Raw genomic sequence first — 20837 nt, 5'->3', positions numbered from 1 at the left:
TTTTCTTAAGTAAAAAATGTTACATTTTGGAGAATTATGAACAGATAACCTTAGTAAGGCCAACTGTTAAATTCTAAAATTGATAAATATATTGTAAACTTGAATTTGCTAAGAGAGTAGATCTTAAGTGTTCTCACCACACAAAAAAAGACAGCTATATGAGATGATTATGTTAACTAGCTTTTGATATATATGCACATTTCAGCATGTGCATATATATCAAAACATCACACCTTAAATACATACAATTTTTATTAATAAAATTTTAAATTAAAAACCAAAATAGTGAATATGTAGCCTTTCTATCTTCAAAAAATATTATGGTTGGGTGTGGTGGCTCACACCTGTGGGAGGCCAAAGTGTGGGGAATCGCTTGAGTCCAGAAGTTTTAGACCATGGTGAAAACCTGCTTCTACAAAAAATTAACCAGGTGTGGTGGCATGCACCTGTGGTCCCAGCTACCCAGGAGGCTGAGGTGGGAGAATCACATGAGCCCAAGAGGTGGAGTTTGCAGTGAGCCGAGATTGTGCCACTGCACTCCAGCATGGGCAACAGAGCAAGACTGTCTCAATAAAATAAAATAAAAATTACACATGCCAGCTGGGCGCGGTGGCTCACGCCTGCAATCCCAGCACTTGGGAGGTCGAGGCAGGAGGATCACGAGGTCAGGAGTTCAAGACCAGCCTGACCCAAATGGTGAAATCCCGTCTCTACTAAAAATACAAAAATTAGCCAGGCGTGGTGGTGTGCACCTGTAATCCCAGCTACTTGGGAGACTGAGGCAGGAGAATCACTTGAACCCGGGAGGCAGAGGTTGCAGTGAGCCAAGATCACACCACTGCACTCCAGCCTGGGTGACAGAGAGAGACAGTCTCAAAAAAAAAAAAATTACACATGCCATGCTTACCCTGGCTATTCTATAAACACCTTAAAAAACAGATGTGTAGGCCAACTTAATTTCACCCCTGAGAATAATGAGAAAATTTTTATCAGTGTAGTTCTAGTCTACATTCATATGGAGGAGAGAAGGGGAAAAAAATTACATTTCCACCTTTACTTAAAAAGTTTAGTTCTTGGATAAGGGTAGTCTAACACAGAAGAAAAGGACTTAGAAAAATAAATAAGAATGGAAGAAAATGGCAATGTTATTTTCTCTGACGTTATAGGAACCTTCAAGGAGTCTAATGATCTGATAGATTTAGTGCTGGGTATGGATAATAAAGTTTCTATATGTTAGGAATGGGCAAAACATTCAGATATTGGATAACTGAAATGGGTTTAAGAAACCCAGATATCGGCTGGGTGCAGTGGCTCATGCCTGTAATCCCAGCAGTTTGGGAGGCTGAGGCAGGAGGATCACCTGAGGTCAGCAGATCAAGATCAGCCTGGCCAACATGGTGAAACCCCATGTCTACTAAAAATACAGAAATTAGCCAGGTGTTGTGGCATGCACCTGTAATCCCAGCTACTTGGGTGGCTGAGGCAGGAGAACTGCTTGAGCCTGGGAGGCAGAGGTTGCAGCAAGCCGAGATCACGCCAGTGCACTCCAGCCTGGGCGATAGAGCGCGACTCAGTCTCAAAAAAAAAGAAAAGAAACCCAGATATCTTTTACATATATTTAGCATACAGACTCTAAAAACCATATGCCAAGTTAGGCTGCTTCTGATGAAACACATTTTGATATGATAGTGCTAAAAATCAAGATGAATATACAGGAAAGTAAAAGAGTAGAAAAGGTTAGACTCCAGGAGAAGAGAATGATCACAGATTCTAAACATTTGTTTAATGTGAGGGAACAAATGATTGTTAATAACTGACAGAAATCTGCACCAAATACAACAGCATGTTTACAGCCAAAGGAATAGGACCATTTACATTTAACAGCTCCTAACATGTATCCATAAAGTACGCTCTGAAGAAAATTATAAGTCTAAAATAATAGACTAATTGAATAATTCACACTAATTGAATGGTGAAACTTAAATACATTGGGAAGTTTTGTGCTGTAATTTTCTAGACTTTTACAATTATTCTTATTCTTTCACCCATTGACCCCTCACTATATAATCTCTAAAAAACAGCCATGATACTGTAGCTACAGTATCAATGCTAACTACTCAACAAGACTTCCAGAAGTATGTCACAAAAATCTGAGTACAACTAAGACTCTTGAGAATATAAGACAAGTGCAGCATCACTTCCCTCTCCTGAAAAATCATCACTTCTTTCTTCTCATACTCAGGAAGAGTACTTAAAATCTTTTAGCCACTTTATTTGCAACTAAAGCTTATGGGAATCCATTACTGCTTGACTATAAAAACAAGCATATTTGGGGATGAAAGAGATTGTAAAATTTGGGATCCATGACTATGCAAAATACACATGTCTCTAGACAAAAAGGGACTTTTATTATAACATGGAGATTAGAAAAGGTAATAATATCCATCTTAAATTACCATTCTACTATAGATTTGTAAATTTGTAAAGATAAATTAAGAGATCGATTTAAGATCAGGCAGACAGCACATCTGTGGAACTAAAACTCAGCTGCAATTCCACACAAGTAAAATCTGTTTCACAACCATGTCTTTTTCTAATGTACATCTGCAGGAAAAATTAATGTATCTTAAGTATCAACCAACAGTTACCTTTTAAAGAATCAACAAAAGAAATTTCCTAAAGCTTAATGTAACTTACAAATAGGACTCCTTAAAATTCACACCTTGCACAATAACGTTTTAAGAACATGCTTCAATTATGTTTTAAGTTATTTAAAAAATAAAAGTCAACAAATTTTTATCGGAGTAAGCTAATAGAAACATTGCCCTAAAAATACCTCATCTGTAAAAATCTCAAATTTATCTTTTTCCCCTTTTAATGAAATCTCTATTGCACGTATATTACACAACTGCTGAGCCAGTACATAAGCTTCATAGAAAATTTCAGACATGCAATCATAAGATCAAAGAGTAAGGTCCTACACCTTTGGCCCCAAGCCAAAAAACACTACTGAAAAACCATTACCATTTACTTGCTTTAGGAAAAAAGCCAAGACTACTTAGACCTTTCCCACTTGCAGAAAAATTTACATGTTTCTGAATATGGATCTAATTTTAAGTTCCATCTTAATGTGCTCTTTCTTTCAGAGGTGAAACAACTAATACATGTGCTTCTGAGCCACAGCTTAAAAAAAAAAAATCTCCTGATCTCAATGTGTATCAACAGCCATTAAAATATCCACACTCTTGGCTGGGCGTGGTGGCTCACGTCTGTAATCCCAACACTTTGGGAGGCCAAGGGTGGATCACCTGAGGTCAGGAGTTTGAGACCAGCCTGACCAACATGGAGAAACCCCATCTCTACTAAAAATACAAAATTAGCTGGGCATGGTGGTGCATGCCTGTTATCCCAGCTACTCGGGAGGCTGAGGCAGGAGAATTGCTTGAACCCGGGAGGCGGTGGTTGCAGTGAGCCAAGATCACGCCATTGCACTCCAGCCTGGGCAACAAGAGCAAAACTCCATATCAACAACAACAACAACAAAAAAAATCCATATTCTCTGACCAGTAGTTACACTTATGATAAACTAGACGAAGGAAATAAAGGCATATATAGAAAATATTACTAGTACCTAAAGCTATACACACACAAAATATATTTATTAAATAAAAACAGCATTAATTTTTAACAAAAAAATAGTGCCAAGGTAACCATTCTCTTATTGTTGGATGTTTGTGAAATATTAGGCATCCAAAGTGATGGTTATTAGCTGGGCACGGTAGTGGGTGCTTGTAATCCCAGGTATTCAGGAGGCTGAGGCAGGAGAATCGCTTGAATCCATCCAGGAGACGGAGGTTGCAGTGAACTGAGATCACGCCACTGCACTCCAGCCTGGGCAATAAAGCAAGACTCCATCTCAAAAAATATATATGTAATATACTATAATACAATATAATACAATAAACAAATGTTTTTTAAAAAATTATGGTTATGGCCAGGCACAGTGGCTCATGCCTGTAATCCCAGCACTTCAGGAGGCTGAGGTGGGAGGATTGCTTCAGCTCAGGAATTCAAGACCAGTCTGGGCAACATAGTGAGACCTCCATCTCTAAAAAAATAAAATAAAAAAATTAGCCTGGTGTGGTGGCATGCACCTATAGTCCCAGCTACTCAGGAGGCTGAAGTGGGAGGATTGTCTGATCCTGGAAGGTTGAGGCTACAGTGAGCTATGACCATGCCACTGCACTCCAGCCTGGGTGACAGAGCAAAACCCTGTCTTAATAAAAAACAAGGGCCGGGCGGGGTGGCTCACGCCTGTAATCCCAGCACTTTGGGAGGCCAAGGCGGGTGGATCACAAGGTCAAGAGTTCAAGACCAGCCTGGCCAACATGGTGAAAGCCCATCTCTACTAAGAATACAAAAATTAGCCAGGCGTGGTGGCGCGTGCCTGTAATCCCAGTTACTTGGGAGGCTGACACAGGAGAATCACTTGAACCCGGGAGGCGGAGGCTGCAGTGAGTCGAGATTGCGCCACTGCACTCCAGCCTGGGTGACAGAGCAAGACTCCATCTCGGGGGTGGCGGGAACAATAAAAACCAAAAAAACCAAAGTGATGGTTATAAAAGCAATATATAAATGTGAAAAATGCTTCTGATGTAATGTCAAAGAAATCAGAATTTTACAATGAGTCTGACTGTAGCTATATAAAAATTCATACACATAAGAAAAACAAAATAAATACTAATAATTTTCTTTTCTCTACTTTCTATACTGTCATAATGCAATAATACGCTTATTTTTATTTTAAAAGAATGAAAGTGAATTTTAAAAAAAGTCTGACTCTGAGATCTGTGTTCAGATTATCCCTTTGGTAAGACCATACTGGGCCAGGCCTGACGGCTCACACCTGTAATCCCAGGGGCGGATTACCTGAGGTCAGGAGTTCGAGACCAGCCTGACCAACATGGAGCAACCTTGTCTCTACCAAAAATACAAAATTAGCCAGGTGTGGTGGCACATGCCCGTAATCCCAGCTACTCAGGAGGCTGAGGCAGGATAATAGCTTGAACCCAGGAGGCGGAGGTTGTGGTGAGCCGAGATCATGCCATTGCACTCCAGCCTCGGCAACAAGAGCGAAACTCCTCTCAAAGTAAAAAAAAAAAAAAAAAAAAAAAAAAAAAAGATAAGACCATACTGGACAAAGTAAGTAAAAATGGAGTTGACTTTCACATTTGTTAATATTTATTAAAGATACACATATATTGGTACTTCTACTTTTTTTCAAATGAAAACTTTCTCTCTTAGTCTGTTTGGGCTACTATAACAAAATACCTTAGACTAGGCAATTTAGTATTTATTTATTTTTTGAGACAGGGTCTCATTCTGTTGCCCAGGCTGGAGTACAGTGGCTTGATCATAGCTCACTGCAGCCTCAACCTCCCAGGCTCAAGTGATCCTCCCACCTCAGCCTCTCAAGTAGGTAGGACGACAGGTGTGAACCACCATGCCTGACTAAGGCTATTTTTTTTATTTTTTTGTAGAGGCAGAGTTTCGCCCCATTGTCCAGGCTGGTCTCGAACTCCTGGACTCAAGTGCTCCACCCACCTCAGCCTCCTAAAGTGCTGGGATGACAGGCATGAGCCCACAATGCCCAGCCAACTAGGCAATTTATAAACAGAATTTTTCTTTTTTTTTTTTTTGAGACGGAGTCTCGCTCTGCCGCCCAGGCTGGAGTGCGGTGGCGCAATCTCGGCTCACTGCAACCTCCGCCTCCCAGGTTCACGTCATTCTCCTGCCTCAGCCACCTGAGTAGCTGGGACTACAGGCGCCCGCCACCACGCCCGGCTAATTTTTTATATTTTTAGTAGAAACGGGGTTTCACTGTGTTAGCCAGGATGGTCTCCATCTCCCCACCTCGTGATCTGCCCGCCTCAGCCTCCCAAAGTGCTGGGATTACAGGCATGAGCCACCGTGCCCGGCTATAAACAGAAATGTATTGCTCACAGTTCTGCAGGCTGGGAAGTTCAAGATTAAAGCATCAGCAAACTTGGAGTCTAGTGAGGGCCCATTCTTCACAGATGGTACCTTCTGTGTCCTCTCATGGTAACAAGCAGGCTCCTTTCACATATTTTTTTTTTTGAGATGTCCAACATGAATTTTGAGGGGACACCAACATTCAGACCATAGTACTTTCATCTTCCCCTTAAGTAATTAGGGGCTTTCATGAATGAGTATCATGTGGAAGAAATAACCCTAGATTTATTTGGGAGGAAAATATATACATACATTCATCAGTTGCAAATACCATTTGGATATTTGGACCATAGCTCCTAGTATAGTAGCCACTAGCTAAATACATGCACAAAATTAGACTACTAAAAAATTCTTACTTTTCTAATTGTCAATTACCTGTATATACATATGAGAATGTTCATTCATTTAAACATATACTGAGTGTTTACTAAGTGCCAAGCATATTGCTTGGTAATGGAATTACTTTAAACAAAACAGACCTTGCCCTGCACGCCCATGGCCAAGAGGTGGATACGAAAACAAATAATTACAGTACAAAATAATACATTGTATAAAAAGAGATTAATAAGGAAGTAAGTAGCAACACTGTAAGAGGATAAGAGAAGACAGTGGCAAGAAACACAGGGCTAAAAAGGCAACTTCTGGCTTTAGCCTATAGTTATTGGGCCAGGAAGGATGAAGTCAGACATCTTTAAAAGGCAGACCAAAGGACATAAGAACAAATATGTTCTTAAGTTAGTAGACTAAAACTTGCCAAGAAGTCTTCTGGCCAAAGTTCTTTTCTATGAAATAGTGAATGGTATCCTTAAGTCCCACAGCACTTTAGAGACACACTAATTCTCTGAAGCAACTAAGTACACTTCGAAAATTACCAGTACTTCCCAAACTTAAGAATATACCTCCAAAATACTTATTTAACGCTGGTAGTTTATTTACCAGGTGGTCAGCTCCAAAAATTGCTAGATAATTATTTTTCCTCCCATTTGGGCAACTGCAGAGATTACTATCCAGAGTTCAATTTGATAAGGACTGCCAACATACAGCAACATGTAAACTCTAGAGTTCAACCAAAGTATATGCATCATGATCACTGAACCCATAAATATGAACCAATAAAATAAACTTAGTCTATTAACCTTATTGCTGCCTTTTCTATCACTCTCCAAGCTGACAACATATTCAATCTCCTAGGGCACTTTAAAAGACACTGATATGGCCAGAAATCACAAAAACTGCACATCAAGTCTATGACTTTGACTAGCAATTCCTGTTCCTACCTATAGGACCTGCAATGAGACTCTAGTCTGTCTTGTAATAGACTGATTATTATTTTTTAAGTGGCAGTGGTGTTTAACATTAATAAGCAAAATACTTTTGCAGAAAGTTTCATGTATTTTCATATTCCAAAAACCATAAAATGTTGTTTACATTTATAGAATGATTCAGAGGTACACAAACCACTTAAAGTCTACATCATTAATACTCATAACAGACTTGGTGACGTAGGTAAAAGGCAAATAAAATTTAGTTCTGTTTAATAGAAAAAGGTTAGACAACTTATCCTAAGTCACAGAGTGAATTAGAGATAGATACGGAACTAGAAATTAAATGCCGATTCACACAACAATGTCTATTAAAGTAAGACAGACAAATTGTCCAGAGTTTACAAATCCCACCATGCTTTTTAAAACACACACCAAGAGAAAGTTTTACACTAAGCCAAACAAGCAGCAGTGAATAATACATATTTATACATTTTATATAATATAAATAAAACATTCCCCATTAAATACAACATGTTTTGATAGAAATGCAGGTTACTGAAAAATGCTTGCCTGATCTTTTTTTAAACTTGCAGAAATTTCTTTAGTGATGCACTTATTTCCTGAATTTAGCAGAACCTTACTTTAAAGGGGTTCACATTCTTACAATGAGCAGTTATTTCTGACAGAAAGAAACCATGACATCTCTAAATTGTGCATAATCCCTACAGTCTCTATGACTAGGATATCCAGGATATTTTGAAACTGAGGAAAGATGAAGTCCCCAAACAAGAACTGAGTCTAGTCTATTCATGCAGCTGTAGGGAAAGAGACAAACTTCTCGACTGAGATATTGGTTTCCCTCCCTTTTACTGCATTGCCAACAAAAATGGTGGTACTAGTCTATTCCAGCCAGTTAAGGAGTCATTTCTTCCTGTCTCCCTCCTGTCCTTCCTCTAATAAAAGTAATAGACATGTTCGCCACCTACAAAGGGAATGGAAGGTAACAGATAAGCTCTAATAGCCCATGACATTCCTAACTTGTCCATAGGGAATAATCAACTGTAAACTAGATTGGTTTAGAAATACCTCCTGTTGGCCGGGCGCAGTGGCTCACGCCTGTAATCCCAGCACTTTGGAGGCCGAGGCAGGTGGATCACGAGGTCAGGGGTTTGAGACCAGCCTGACCAACGTGGTGAAACTCCATCTCTACTAAAAATACAAAAATTAGCTGGGCGTAGTGGCGGGCACCTGTAATCCCAGCTACTCAGGAGGCTGAGGCAGGAGAATTGCTTGAACCCGGGAGGCAGAAGTTGCAGTGAGCCAAGATCACGCCACTGCACTCCAGCCTGGGCAACAGAGCAAGACTCCGTCTTAAAAAAAAAAAAAAAAAAAAAAACCTGTTAGGCCAGGTGTGGTGGCTCATGCCTGTAATCCCAGCACTTTGGGAGGCGGATCACCTGAGGTCAGGAGTTCAAGACCAGCCTGACCAACACGGTGAAACCCCATCTCTACCAAAAATACAAAAATTAGCCAGGCATGGTGGCACACGCCTGTAATCCCAGCTACTTGGGAGGCTGAGGCAGGAGAATCGCTTGAACCCCGAAGACGGAGGTTGCAGTGAGCCAAGATCGTGCCACTGCACTCCAGCCTGGGCGACAGAGACCCTGTCTCAAAAAAAAAAAAAAAAAAGAAATATCTCCCGTTACATGCATATGTTTCACTAGGGACAAGATGTAACATTTTAAAAATCCCCCGGGAATTGGAAGCTTTCATAAATTTAATTTACTGTAAACTAAGCTAAATAAGAAAATGTAATAGAAAATCATGTGCACACAGGCTGGGCGCAGTGGCTCATGCCTGTAATCCCAGCACTTTGGAAGGCCAAGCAGGTGGATCACAAGGTCAGGAGTTCAAGACCAGCCTGGCCAACAAAGTGAAACCCCCTCTCTACTAAAAAATACAAAAAATTAGCCGGGCATGGTGGCGGGCGCCTGTAATCCCAGCTACTCGGGAGGCTAAAGCAGGAGAATCGCTTGAACCCAGGAGGCAGAGGTTGCAGTGAGTGCCACTGCACTCCAGCCTGGGCAACAGTGAGAGATTCCACCTCAAAAAAAGAAAGAAAAAGAAAGAAAATCATGTGCACAGTCATAGTTTGATTCCAACCTAGCCGGTGCAACTATACTATCTCAAAGCCTAGCAACTGCTCTGAAATGCTATGTTGTAGCAACATGCCAATCTGCCATGAAAATTTTCTTGAATCTGGAATATGCAAAAAAGTAAATTTACAAACACAACCCACTTTAGCATATCATTTATTACATTTTAGGATATCTAAACAAACAAAAAATAATCTCCCATGATGACATACTAAGAATAAAAATATATGTGGTATCTGCATTTACTTTTTTATTATTAATATCTCCATTCAAAACTGTTACTTAGGTGAGTTAAAAATAAGTATTCTAGACCAGGCACAAAGGCTTATGCCTGTAATCCCAGCACTTTGGGAGGCCGAGGTGGGTGGATCACCTGAGGTCAAGAACTGGAGACCAACCTGGCCAACACAGTGACACCCCCGTCTCTACTAAAAATACAAAAAATTAGCCGGGCATGGTGGCAAGTGCCTGTAATCCCAGCTACTCGTGATGCTGGGGCAGGAGAATCGCTTGAACCCAGGAGGCAGAGGTTTCAGTGACCTGAGATTGCACCACCACATTCCAGCCTGGACAACAAGAGCGAAACTCCATCTCAATAAATAAATAAACAAACAAATAAAGTATTTTAGCCTTTTTTTTTTTACCCTAAATGAGCAACAAAATTAAAAAAAATAAGCATGTGAACTTTAAGTTGAATATATAACTCAAAAGGAGAAACTAAACTCAAGTAATCATTTTGAAAGATAATTTTTACTCATGAAAATTACAGAATGATCATACTTATGAGTCTAAGTAGCTTTAAAAAAAAGAAGGAAAAAAAAAAAAGCCTAAGCAAGAAGAAGCTCCCACCCAGACTAACCTTCAACATTAAGGGGAAAAAAAAAAAAACAAAAAACGAAAAGCACTACTCAGAGTAAAACATCTTAGGGAGCTTTAAAAAAAAGAAAAAGCAAGTAACTATAAGGCTAAAAGTTGTTACCTTCTATCCAAGACATAAAATGTATGTTTAATTCTTCTTAAAAGGATAGCTACCAACAAAACTAAACTTGTCTGGAAAGTAGGTTGTTTTTTCTAAAGGCATCAGAGCAGCAGAAATACAAAATAAAGAGATGTATTTTTTCTTTTTTAATCTTAAATAACATGAATAACACTTTTTTTATTTTTATTTTGTTGAGACGGAGTCTGGCTCTGTTGCCCAGGCTGGAGAGCAGTGGCCTGATCTAGGCTCACTGAAACCTACACTTCCTGGGATTCAAGCGATTCTTCTGCCTCAGCCTCCCGAGTAGTTGGGACTACAAGCACGCCCCACCACAGCCGGTTAATTTTTATACTTTCAGTAGAGACGGGGTTTCACCATATTGGCCAGGCTGGTCTTGAACTCCTGACCTCATGATCCGCCCGCCTAGGCCCCCCAAAGTGTCGGGATTACAGGCGTGAACCACCGTGCCCAGCCACATGAAGAATACTTTAAACATACAGATATTTTTCTTTTTTCAACCTTTTCCCATATATGGTCAATTTCATTACATCCATCTTATTTCCCACCTTCACCACAAACCATTTCCATCTTTGTGCCCAAAACTTTATTGTAGGAGTTAAAAAAACCCCTATTCAAGAGACCTATATTCTTCTACAAAACCTTCAAGTGTGTTCAGTCATTTTCACTGAAAGAGATCAACAGGGAAGTAGCTTGACACTGTCCCCCAGAAGTTCCTTTACCATGCCTCCACACCTCCCAAACTACTCCCTATTTTCACCTCCGAAAAACACTCAAATTTTCCACTAATGCAATCTGACCTAATGAATCAAAGCCTGCCCATCTCTTCTTCTACCCCTTTCTTTCAAGCAGAAAGCTCTAACCTTCAATAAGAGAATAATAAAGCAGAAGCAAGGAGGAGGCAAAACATGATTCTTTCCCTTCCAGTAACTAGCCATACCCCATTCCCCCAAATAAGCACTCCACAACTCTACCCTTTAAAATGGTTATCAAACATGGCCGGGTCCAGTGGCGCACGCCTGTAATCCCAGCACTTTGGGAGGCCAAGGCGAGCGGATCACCTGAAGTCAGGAGTTCGAGACCAGCCTCGCCAACAAGGCGAAACCCCATCTCTACTAAAAATACAAAAATTAGCTGGGCGTGGTGGCGCGCGCCGGTAGTTCCAGCTACTCGGGAGGCTGAGGCAGGAGAATCGCTTGAACCCGGGAGGCGGAGGTTGCAGTGAGCCGAAATCCAGCCACTGCACTCCAGCCTGGGAGACACAGCGAGACATTGTTTCAAAAAAAAAAGGTTATAAAACAAAATGTTGATACATCTGTTACCTCTTTCAAGCCTCCCAATAACATTTCTACTAACACCACCCAAAATATTTTTAAAAGACAGGTCTCTCATTCTTTTCGGTCCCTCATACTACACCCCAATTATCTTCAGGTGTCCTCTCAATCTTACAAAAACATTTACAAAACTGTCCTCTCAATGGCACAAGAATACTTACAAATCTCTTATTCTTTCTACCGCTCCTTTTATTCCTCCAACACCACCTGTATCTAAAAATCCCTACATACTGTTAGGTATACTCCTCCACCAATTAATGCTGCATACCAGTGTAGCCCTTTCAACCTTCAACTAAACTTACAGAAACCTCTTTTTTCCAACCTCTATGTATCTAAAAGTCATCAGTTCCCCTAGCACTATCAAGCCCTCAATAATACTTTAAAATCCCTTAATATCCTTGCTATCACACTTATCACCTCCCCAATAATTTCTAAAACCCTTCAATGCCCACACATCCTTTTCATCTACTCCATAGTATTTTTCAAATCCTTCAATATTCTTGATCCCTCAGAACTTACCAATAATCGCTATACAGTTTCAATGTCCCTGCTATCCGCTTCTGCCCTCATATTTCGAAAATGCCCTCGATATTTTGCTTCTAGACCTTTCAGTCCCGGAATAATAATGTTTATCAAACCCTTGATATTCTGCTATTCCCTTCGACATCTCAATATTCACATTTTAAAAATCCCTCAAGAGCCCCGTTACCTCTCTCTCAGTTCTCAAACAGCAATGTTTTAAATTCCCTCACGGCCCCTGCTACCCCTTCCAGCACCCCGATATTTGCGTTTGAAAAGCCTTCGCTGTCCTTGCCTGCCCCCCCAGTCCCCATATTCACGGCGCCTCTCCGTCCCCAGCGCTCCTCTCCCACCCTCACCCCCACCACAATGGTGATAGTACTACAGGGAAGGCGTCGCCGGGACCTCCCGGCCGCGGCCCCTCAGCGCCGCCCCCCACGCCACCTCCCCTCCCCCACGCCCCCGCGAGCCCCCAACGCCCACGTTCGCCGGCCCCGGCCCAGCCCGGCTCACTCACATCGGCTCCAGTAACTTGGCCAGCCAGGACTTGAGGGCATCCACATCCTCTATGAGCATGGTGCAGGGAAGGCGGGCTCGGCCGCCGCTCTTCTTCAGGCCTGCCGTGGGTCTCCACTACGCCGCCCCCTCACGTTCCCTTCACAGCTCCCGGTGCCCCAGCCCACCGGGCATCTTAGGAGACTTCAACCTACTCCCCCGGCCGGGGCCTAACAGGAACTAACCCAAGAGCCCTCACTCAACCTAGCCCGAAGGCTGAGGTGGGCGGGAGACAGTGCCGAGTGGCAGGCCTGAGAACCAGTAAGAGAGAGGGGGCCCTGAGGGCAAGACCAATGAAAAGGCTCGCTCGCCCCGCCGGCAGGCGGTACCCAGTCAGGGAGGAGAGATATAGCAAGGTAGGTGGAGAGCTTAAGTGAACTCCTGGTGCAAGATGGTATCTTGGAAAAGGTGCTTTGCCTCTTAAAGGGGCAGCGGCGCCTTTTTTTGACCACGCCGCCGCCCGCCGCGGAATACCGGTGTCTGCTGCTGGGAGTGCCTGGGGGAACCCGGCGAGCCCCTCAGCCTGGTTCCTTCCTCTCGTTTTTCTTGGAAACACACACTCGTGTCCCGAAATGACTCAGCTGTAGTAAATCTGCAACACAACGTGCAATACGTTCACGTTCGACACATTGCACAGAATGCAAAATTTTACTTTTTTTCTTTACACACTCATGTTGATTGGCACTCACGTTTGTATTTTCTGCTGCTCTGCTTTAATTACGCAGAATGTTTCTGACAACCATGCCTTGGAATCCAGTAATCGTCATTTTTAAAACGTGGCGCACGGATGTAAAAGGCTGAGGCCATTTCAATTTTGCTAGTACTATTAATAAATGTTGCTTTATTTAGGAAGAAAAATGACTCCAATAGTTTGTTTTTAATTATCTTTTCATTGTATATCTAAAATTCAGTGGTTGGGGGACGGGAAGGGAGAATTTTAATCAGCAAAGAAGGATTACAAAAAAATTTTTAAGACAAATTAGAAACTACTGAAATAGTCAACTTACTTTCTAGTAGGTGAGAAATTCTTTCTGGAGTTTTGAAATCACTGATTTAGCACTGATGTTAAAATGTTTACCCAATAACATATACTGAGTCCCTGCAATTGCCAGCACTGAGTAAGGCACTAGGAGTCCAATGCTGAGCAAAACAGAGCTTCTCCTCTTAAGATGATGAACAGTTTATGGGGTTATGCATTGTAATAACATTTTGAAAAATACCTAATGAGCACGCACCTCATATAAAAGAAATGGATCAACCTCAAATAAACAGACATCCTATATATACATAGAACAGGTATAGGCAAACTTCTGCAAAGGATCAGATACTAAATATTTTGGTTTTGTGAGCCTTGAGGTATCTATGGCAACTACTCGTCATACAATGTCTTGGCTTAAAATTAACCAGGGACAATATGTAAATGGAATGATTGTGGCTGTATTACAAACATTTATTAAAATTATATAAAATTTTAAATTTATATAATTTTCACATACCATGAAATATTATCTTTTCATTTTTTTCTCCATTTAAAAATGTAGGCCAGGCTGGGCGCGGTGCCTCACACCTGTAATCCCAGCATTTTGGGAGGCCAAGGCGGGTGGATCACCTGAGGTCAGGAGTTCCAGACCAGCCTGACCAACATGGTGAAACCAGTCTCTACTAAAAATACAAAATTTGCCAGGCATGGTGGCACACGCCTGCAATCCCAGGTACTCGGGAGACTGAGGCAGGGGAATCGCTTGAACCCAGGAGGCAGAGGTTGCAGTGAGCCAAGATCGTGACAAGAGCCAAAGAAACTCCATCTCAAAAAAAAAAGGGGGGGCTTGGCACGGTGACTCATGCCTGTAATCCCAGCACTTTGGGAGGCCCAGACGGGTGGATCACCTGAGGTCAGGAGTTCCAGACAAGCTTGGCCAACATGGTGAAACCCCGTCTCTACTAAAGATACAAAAATTAACCGGGCATGGGACGGGCGTGGGCCAGGCGCAGTGGCTCATGCCTGTATTCCCAGGGCTTTGGGAGGCCGAGGTGGGCGGATCATGAGGTCAGGAGATCGAGACCAGCCTGGCCAACATGGTGAAACCTCGTCTCTACTAAAAATACAAAAATTAGCTGGGCGTGGTGGCGCGTGTTTGTAGTCCCAGCTACTCAGGAGACTGAGGCAGGAGAATCACTTGAGCCCAGGAGGCGGAGGCTACAGTGAGCCGAGATCATGCCACTGCACTCCAGCCTCAGCGACAGAGCAAGACTCTGTCTCAAAATAAAAAAAAAATTAGCTGGCTGTGGTGGCACACGCCTGTAATCCCAGCTACTCCAGACACTGAGGCAGGAGAATCGATTGAACTGGGGAGGTGGAGGTTGCAGTGAGCTGAGATGGTATCACTGCCCTCCAACCTGGGCAACAGAGCAAGACTCCGTCTCTAATTAATTAATTAATACAAATAAAAATGTAAAGGCCATTGTAACCTCACAGGTGTACAAAGAAGATGCCAGCAGGGTTTAGCTTGCTGGCCACAGTTTGTAAACCCCTTACATAAAGTAGTAAAAGCAGAGGTGCACTTAAAAATAATGTAATGAACCTCCCTCACTAACCCCCTCCTCATAACTTTGCAAATGAAAGAAAAGGTCCAGAGAGGCAAGTGGTTTACCCAGAATTACACCTCTATGGAGTAGAAGTAGCATCCAGAGGTTCTGACAGCAAGCCAAGAGCTTTCTCACTTGCAACTCTTGCCTCTTCTTTTCTCTCTCCTCTTCCTCCTCCTTTTTTAAAGTTTATCCACATTTTCCCTTCACTTCGAACAGCTACAGAAGTTAGCTGGGTGTGGTGGCACATGCCTGTAATCTCAGCTACTTGAGAGACTGAGGCACGAGAATTGCTTTAACCTGCGAAGCAGAGGTTGCAGTAAACTGAGATCAAGCCACTGCACTCCAGCCTGGGTGACAGAGTGAGACTCTGCCAAAAAACAACAACAAGAACAACAACAAAAACAACAACAACAAACAAACAAAAAAAAACCCTAGCTCCCACCTTGGATCTCTTGTTCAGGGGAAAGCTAGTCATCATGTTTCAAGACATTCTAGCAGCCCTGTGGAGAGGCCCACGTTGAGAGGAACTGAGACAACTGAGACCCCTTCCCAACCAAGGGAGAGTGGGTGTGGTTATAAAAGTACAACATGAGGGACACTTTTGGTGTTGGAACTGTTTTGATTTTTGACTGTGATGGTGGATACAGGAACTACAGGGTGGTAAACTGAATAGAACTAAACTTACCTATAAAGTCAAGTTGATGGCTGGGTAAAAAAAGAAAAATAGAACCAAACTTACATATGCACAGAAGGGACCTCAAAAAGTTCATGGAAAAGTGCAATTAAAAGAAAAATAAAAACCACAAACTTTATTTCTCAACATAAGCTTTATCAAGTTCCAGGCACATTGAGAACATACAAGTGATACCACACAAATGATACTGGGCATTTAGTTCATCCCTAAAGAACTGAGAGTCCTGGGAATTTAGCCATGTCAATGCAGTCTTTTTTACATTATGAACTGAAGAAAAATGGGACCCTTTACATATTTTTTAAACATTAGGAAACAAAAAGAAGGCAGAAGGAGCCAAATTAGGACTGCAGGGTAGCTGCCTAATGATTTCCCATCAAAACTTTTGCAAAATTGCCCTTGTTTGACCAGATTTTTTTTTTTTTTTTTTGAGACAGTCTTGCTCTGTCGCCCAGGTTGGAGTGCAGTGGTGCAACGTTGGCTCACTGCAAACTCCGCCTCCCAGGTTCACGCCATTCTCCTGCCTCAGCCTCCCAAGTAGCTGGGACTACAGGCACCCACCACCATGCCCAGCTAATTTTTTGTATTTTTAGTAGAGACGGGGTTTCACCATTTTAGCTGGGATGATCTCCATCTCCTGACCTCATGATCCACCCTCCTCGGCCTCCCAAAGTGCTGGGAATACAGCCGTGAGCCACCGCACCCGGCTATTAGATTAATGAGCAGGAGCATTGCCAAGATGGAGAAGGAATCTCTGGTGAAACTTTCACAGATGTTGTTCTGCTGAAGCTTCAGCTAATTTTCTCAAAACACTCTCATAATAAGCATATGTTATCGTTCTTTAGCCCTCGAGCAAAATGCCTTGAGCATCCCAAAAAAACTGTTGCCATGACCTCTGCTGCTGACCAGTCTGCTTTTGCTTTGACTAGCCCATTGCCATTTTCTTGGTAGCTATTGTTTTGATTGTGTTTTGTCTTCAGGATTGTACTCGTAAAGCCGTGTTTCATCTCCTGTTACAATTCTTTGAAGAAATGCTTCAGGATTGTGATCTCACTTCAAAATTTCCAATGAAAGCTACTCTTGTCTGCAGCTGATCTGGTTGCAGCAGTTTTGGCACCCATCAAGTGGAAAGTTTGCTCAACTTTAATTTTCAGTTAGAATTGTGTAAGTGGAACCAATTGAGATGTCTATGGTGTTGGCTGCTGTTTCTGCTGTTAATTGTTGGTCCTCTTCCATTAGGGCACAAACAAGATTAATTTTTTTTTGTTTTTGCAAACTGATGTGGATGATCTGCAGCTGTGGGCTTCATCTTTTACACTCTCTTATCCCTTCTTAAAACAAGTTATCCATTTGTAAACTGCTGATTTATTTGGGGGCATTGTCCCCATAAGGTTTTTGTAAAGCATGAATAATTTACCATTATTCCACCCAAGCTTCACAAAAAATTTGATGTTTGTTCTTTCTTCAATTTTAGCAGAATTCATGTTGCTCTAATAGAGGCCCTTTTCAAACTGATGTCTTATCCCTCTTAGGGCCTCAAACTAGATCCTGTTTAGAAATGTTGTAACAAGTTCGTATGAGTTTATTTTGTTAAAAACATTTGAAATCCATGCATAGTTTTTTCATAATACACATTTTCCATAAACTTTTTGAAGACTGTGTGTGTGTGTCTTCTAAAGGCCTATATGCAGACACACACACACACACACACACACACACACACACACAAATGAACACAAAACATGTATCGATGTCAATATTCTGGTCTTGAAATTATACTACAGTTTTGCCAAAAGTTACCATTGACTGGGTGTGATGGCAGGTGCCTGTGATCTCAGCTACTCAGGAAGCTGAGGTAGGAGGATTGCTTGAGTCCAGAAGTTTGAGACCAGCCTGGGCAACAAAGCAAGACTTTGTGTCAAAAAAATAAATGCTGCCATTGGAGGAAACTGGGAAGAGTGTGTGAGGGTTCTTTCTGCATTATATCTTACAACTGCATATGACTCTAGAAGTATCTCAATTTTTTAAAAAGTTGCTTCAAGGCTGGGCACGGTGGCTCATGTCTGTAATCCCAGCACTTTGCAAGGCTGAGGCAGGCAGATCACATGAGATCAGGAGTTTGAGACCAGCCTGGCCAACATGGTGAAACCCTGTCTCTACTAAAAATACAAAAATTAGCCGGGCATGGTGGCACTAGCTGGGAGGCTGAAGCAGGAGAATTGCTTGAACCTGGGAGGCAGAGGTTGCAGTGAGCCAAGATCACACCACTGCACTCCAGCCTGGACAACAGAGCAAGACTCTTTCGGGGCAAAAAAATAAAAAAAGAATGTTGCTTCAAGGCAAGCATGGTGGCTCATCCATAATCCAAGCAATTTGGGTGGCTGAGTAGGAACATCACCCAGGAGTTCAAGACCAGCCTAGGCAACATGGTGAGACCCTGTCTCTACAAAAAATGAGGCAGGAGAATTCCTTGAGCCCAGGAGGTCAAGGCTGCAGTGAGCCATGTTTGTGCCACTTGGGTGACAGAGAAAGAACCTGCCTCAAATAAATAAATAAATACAAAGTTGCTTCACACGACTACAGTGGCTCAAGCCTGTAATCCCAGCACTTTGGGAGGCTAAGGCAAGAGGATCTCTTGAGCCTAGGAGTTCAAGACCAACCTGGGCAAGATAGCGAGACCCCGTCTCTACAAAAAATTTAAAAATTTTCCAGGTGTAGTGGCGAATGCCTGTAGTCCCAGCTACTCAGGAGGCTGAGGTGAAAGCATCACTTAAGGCGGGAGGTAGTGGATGCTGTGAGCTGACATCGTGCCACTGCACTTCAGCCTGAGTGACAGAGCCAGACCCCGTCTCTTAAAAAAGACAAAAATATTGCTTCACATGTTAAGAGCAGTGTCACCAGGGAGAAAAGGTTGAGAATGGCATCTTTAGGTGTGTGGTTACTGGAAATAGTCCTTGCCCCAATTCCCCAAGATCTTTATGTGTTCCCACTGGACCTGTGTGGGGACCCAGATCTGACGTCCTTGCAGATTATATAAGCATCCAGGAGAAATGTGGAAAGCTCCATGTCAGCAGTGACTGTTGGGTTTTCTTGGGCAGGGGGGAGCAGGGAATACAAAACAGCAGTAGTGGACTGACAAGACTCCCATTCCATCTGGTTATCCTTCTGATGTTAGAAGAGTCCACTCTGATGTTTAAAACCGTCCACTCTTCTTTGGATTAAATAAGCCCCTTGTGATTTAGACATATCAAATAAAAATAACTCATACTCATGTGTGCCAGGCACTCTGCCATGCAACTTTACATGAATTAGCCTCTTTCAGTTCCTGCATTCAGCCTTCCTTACCTTCAAGCAATATTGATTGAAATCTATCATAAGTAGAACACTATTATAGGCCCTGGGGATACAGCAATGAAGAAAATAGGCATTCTGTTGGAGATCTATTTCAGTAGCAAGATAATAATGACAAATAACAATATAATATGTCAGGTGGGATACATTCTAAAAAGGAAAATAAGGCAAAATGAGGAGATAGAGAGTGACGGGGAAGGTAAAAAGACTGAGCAGTGGCTTGAAGGTAGTGTGGGTGTTAGCCGTGTAGATATCTGGGATAGAGGCTTTCCAGGGAAGTGCAAAGACCCTGAGGCAGGAGCTGACTTGGCACATTTGAGGAAAGGAAGGAGGCAATGGGGCTGGAGCAGAATGAACCAGGAAGAAACTGATGGTACATGAGTGAAAGAGGTAGTTAGATGCCAGATCATGAAGGACCATGTAACGGTAAGGACTTTAGATTTTACTTCTATGCCAGGTGCGGCGGCTCACATCTGTAATCCCAGTATTTTAGGAGGCCAAGGCAGAAGAATCACTGGAGTCCAGGAGTTTGAGACCAGCCTGGGCAACATAGCAAGACCCCATCTCTACAAAAAATGAAAAAACTAACCAGGCATGGTGGTGCGTGCCTGTGGTCCCAGCTACTCAGGAGGCTGAAATAGAAGGATCACTCCAGACTGGGAAGTCAAGGCTGCTGTGAGTTGTGATTGCACCATGCCTAGCCTGGGTGATAGAGCAAGATCTTGTCTCAACAACAACAAAAAATTACTTCTGAGATTAGAAGAAGGGTTTTGTTTTTTGTTTTTTGTTTTTTGTTTTTTGAGATAGTCTCACGCTGTCGCCCAGGCTGGAGTGCAATGGCGCAATCTCGGCTCACTGCAGCCTCCGCTTCCTGGGTTCAAACAATTCTCCTGCCTCAGCCTCCCAAGTAGCTGGGAGTACAGGCGCCCACCACAATTCCCAGCTAATTTTTGTATTTTTAGTAGAGACAGGGTTTCACCATGTTGGCCAGGCTGGTCTCAAACTCCTGACATCATGATCTGCCTGCCTCGGCCTCCCAAAGTGCTGGGATTACAGGTGTGAGCCACCATGCCTGGCCAGATACTGAAGGTTTTAAATAGAGTAATGAAATAATCTCATCCGCTGTTTTTTTTTTTTATGGGATCACTGTGGCTCCTTTATGGGTATCAGACTGAAGGGGGCAAAAGAGGAGGTACGAAAACTAGTTAGGAGGCTACAACATTAATTCAAGCAAGCAATGATGATGGTGTGGACTAGACTTATAGTGAGAAGTTGGATTTTGGGTATATTTTGAGAGTGGAGTCAACAAGTTTGGCTGATAGATTGTGGATATGAAAGACAAAGAGG

At 42.4% G+C, this 20837-nt stretch overlaps 2 protein-coding genes across 2 annotated transcripts in view, besides 3 other annotated features; both read right to left on the bottom strand.

The window, feature by feature from the left end:
* RBM27-POU4F3 (RBM27-POU4F3 readthrough) overlaps positions 1–13041 on the bottom strand; it is a 138124-nt gene extending 125083 nt beyond the window's left edge. Inside the window, exon 1 of the mRNA NM_001414499.1 lies at positions 12822–13041. Coding sequence (NP_001401428.1) covers positions 12822–12880 — 59 coding nt within the window. The 5' untranslated portion in view covers positions 12881–13041. The remainder of the gene's footprint in view (positions 1–12821) is intronic.
* The window catches only part of RBM27 (RNA binding motif protein 27), an 85619-nt gene extending 72578 nt beyond the window's left edge, over positions 1–13041 (bottom strand). Inside the window, exon 1 of the mRNA NM_018989.2 lies at positions 12822–13041. Within this exon, the coding sequence (NP_061862.1) occupies positions 12822–12880 (59 nt within the window). The 5' untranslated portion in view covers positions 12881–13041. The remainder of the gene's footprint in view (positions 1–12821) is intronic.
* Positions 2866–3160: a silencer, noted in NCBI's record as "tiled region #15600; K562 Repressive DNase unmatched - State 14:Gen5'". NCBI's record gives its function as "represses a minimal TATA promoter and a strong SV40 promoter by Sharpr-MPRA in K562 cells {active_cell/tissue: K562}" and the evidence as "EXISTENCE:reporter gene assay evidence [ECO:0000049][PMID:27701403]".
* Positions 12826–12985: an enhancer, noted in NCBI's record as "active region_23361". NCBI's record gives its function as "activates an Ori minimal core promoter by ATAC-STARR-seq in GM12878 lymphoblastoid cells {active_cell/tissue: GM12878}" and the evidence as "EXISTENCE:reporter gene assay evidence [ECO:0000049][PMID:35858748]".
* Positions 13456–13605: an enhancer, noted in NCBI's record as "active region_23360". NCBI's record gives its function as "activates an Ori minimal core promoter by ATAC-STARR-seq in GM12878 lymphoblastoid cells {active_cell/tissue: GM12878}" and the evidence as "EXISTENCE:reporter gene assay evidence [ECO:0000049][PMID:35858748]".

Source organism: Homo sapiens, chromosome 5, assembly GCF_000001405.40.
Source record: "Homo sapiens chromosome 5, GRCh38.p14 Primary Assembly".
In the NCBI taxonomy this organism is placed as follows: domain Eukaryota; kingdom Metazoa; phylum Chordata; class Mammalia; order Primates; family Hominidae; genus Homo; species Homo sapiens.
The sequence above is the reverse complement of the archived record's forward strand: the minus strand, read 5'-3'. Positions and strand labels throughout refer to the sequence as shown.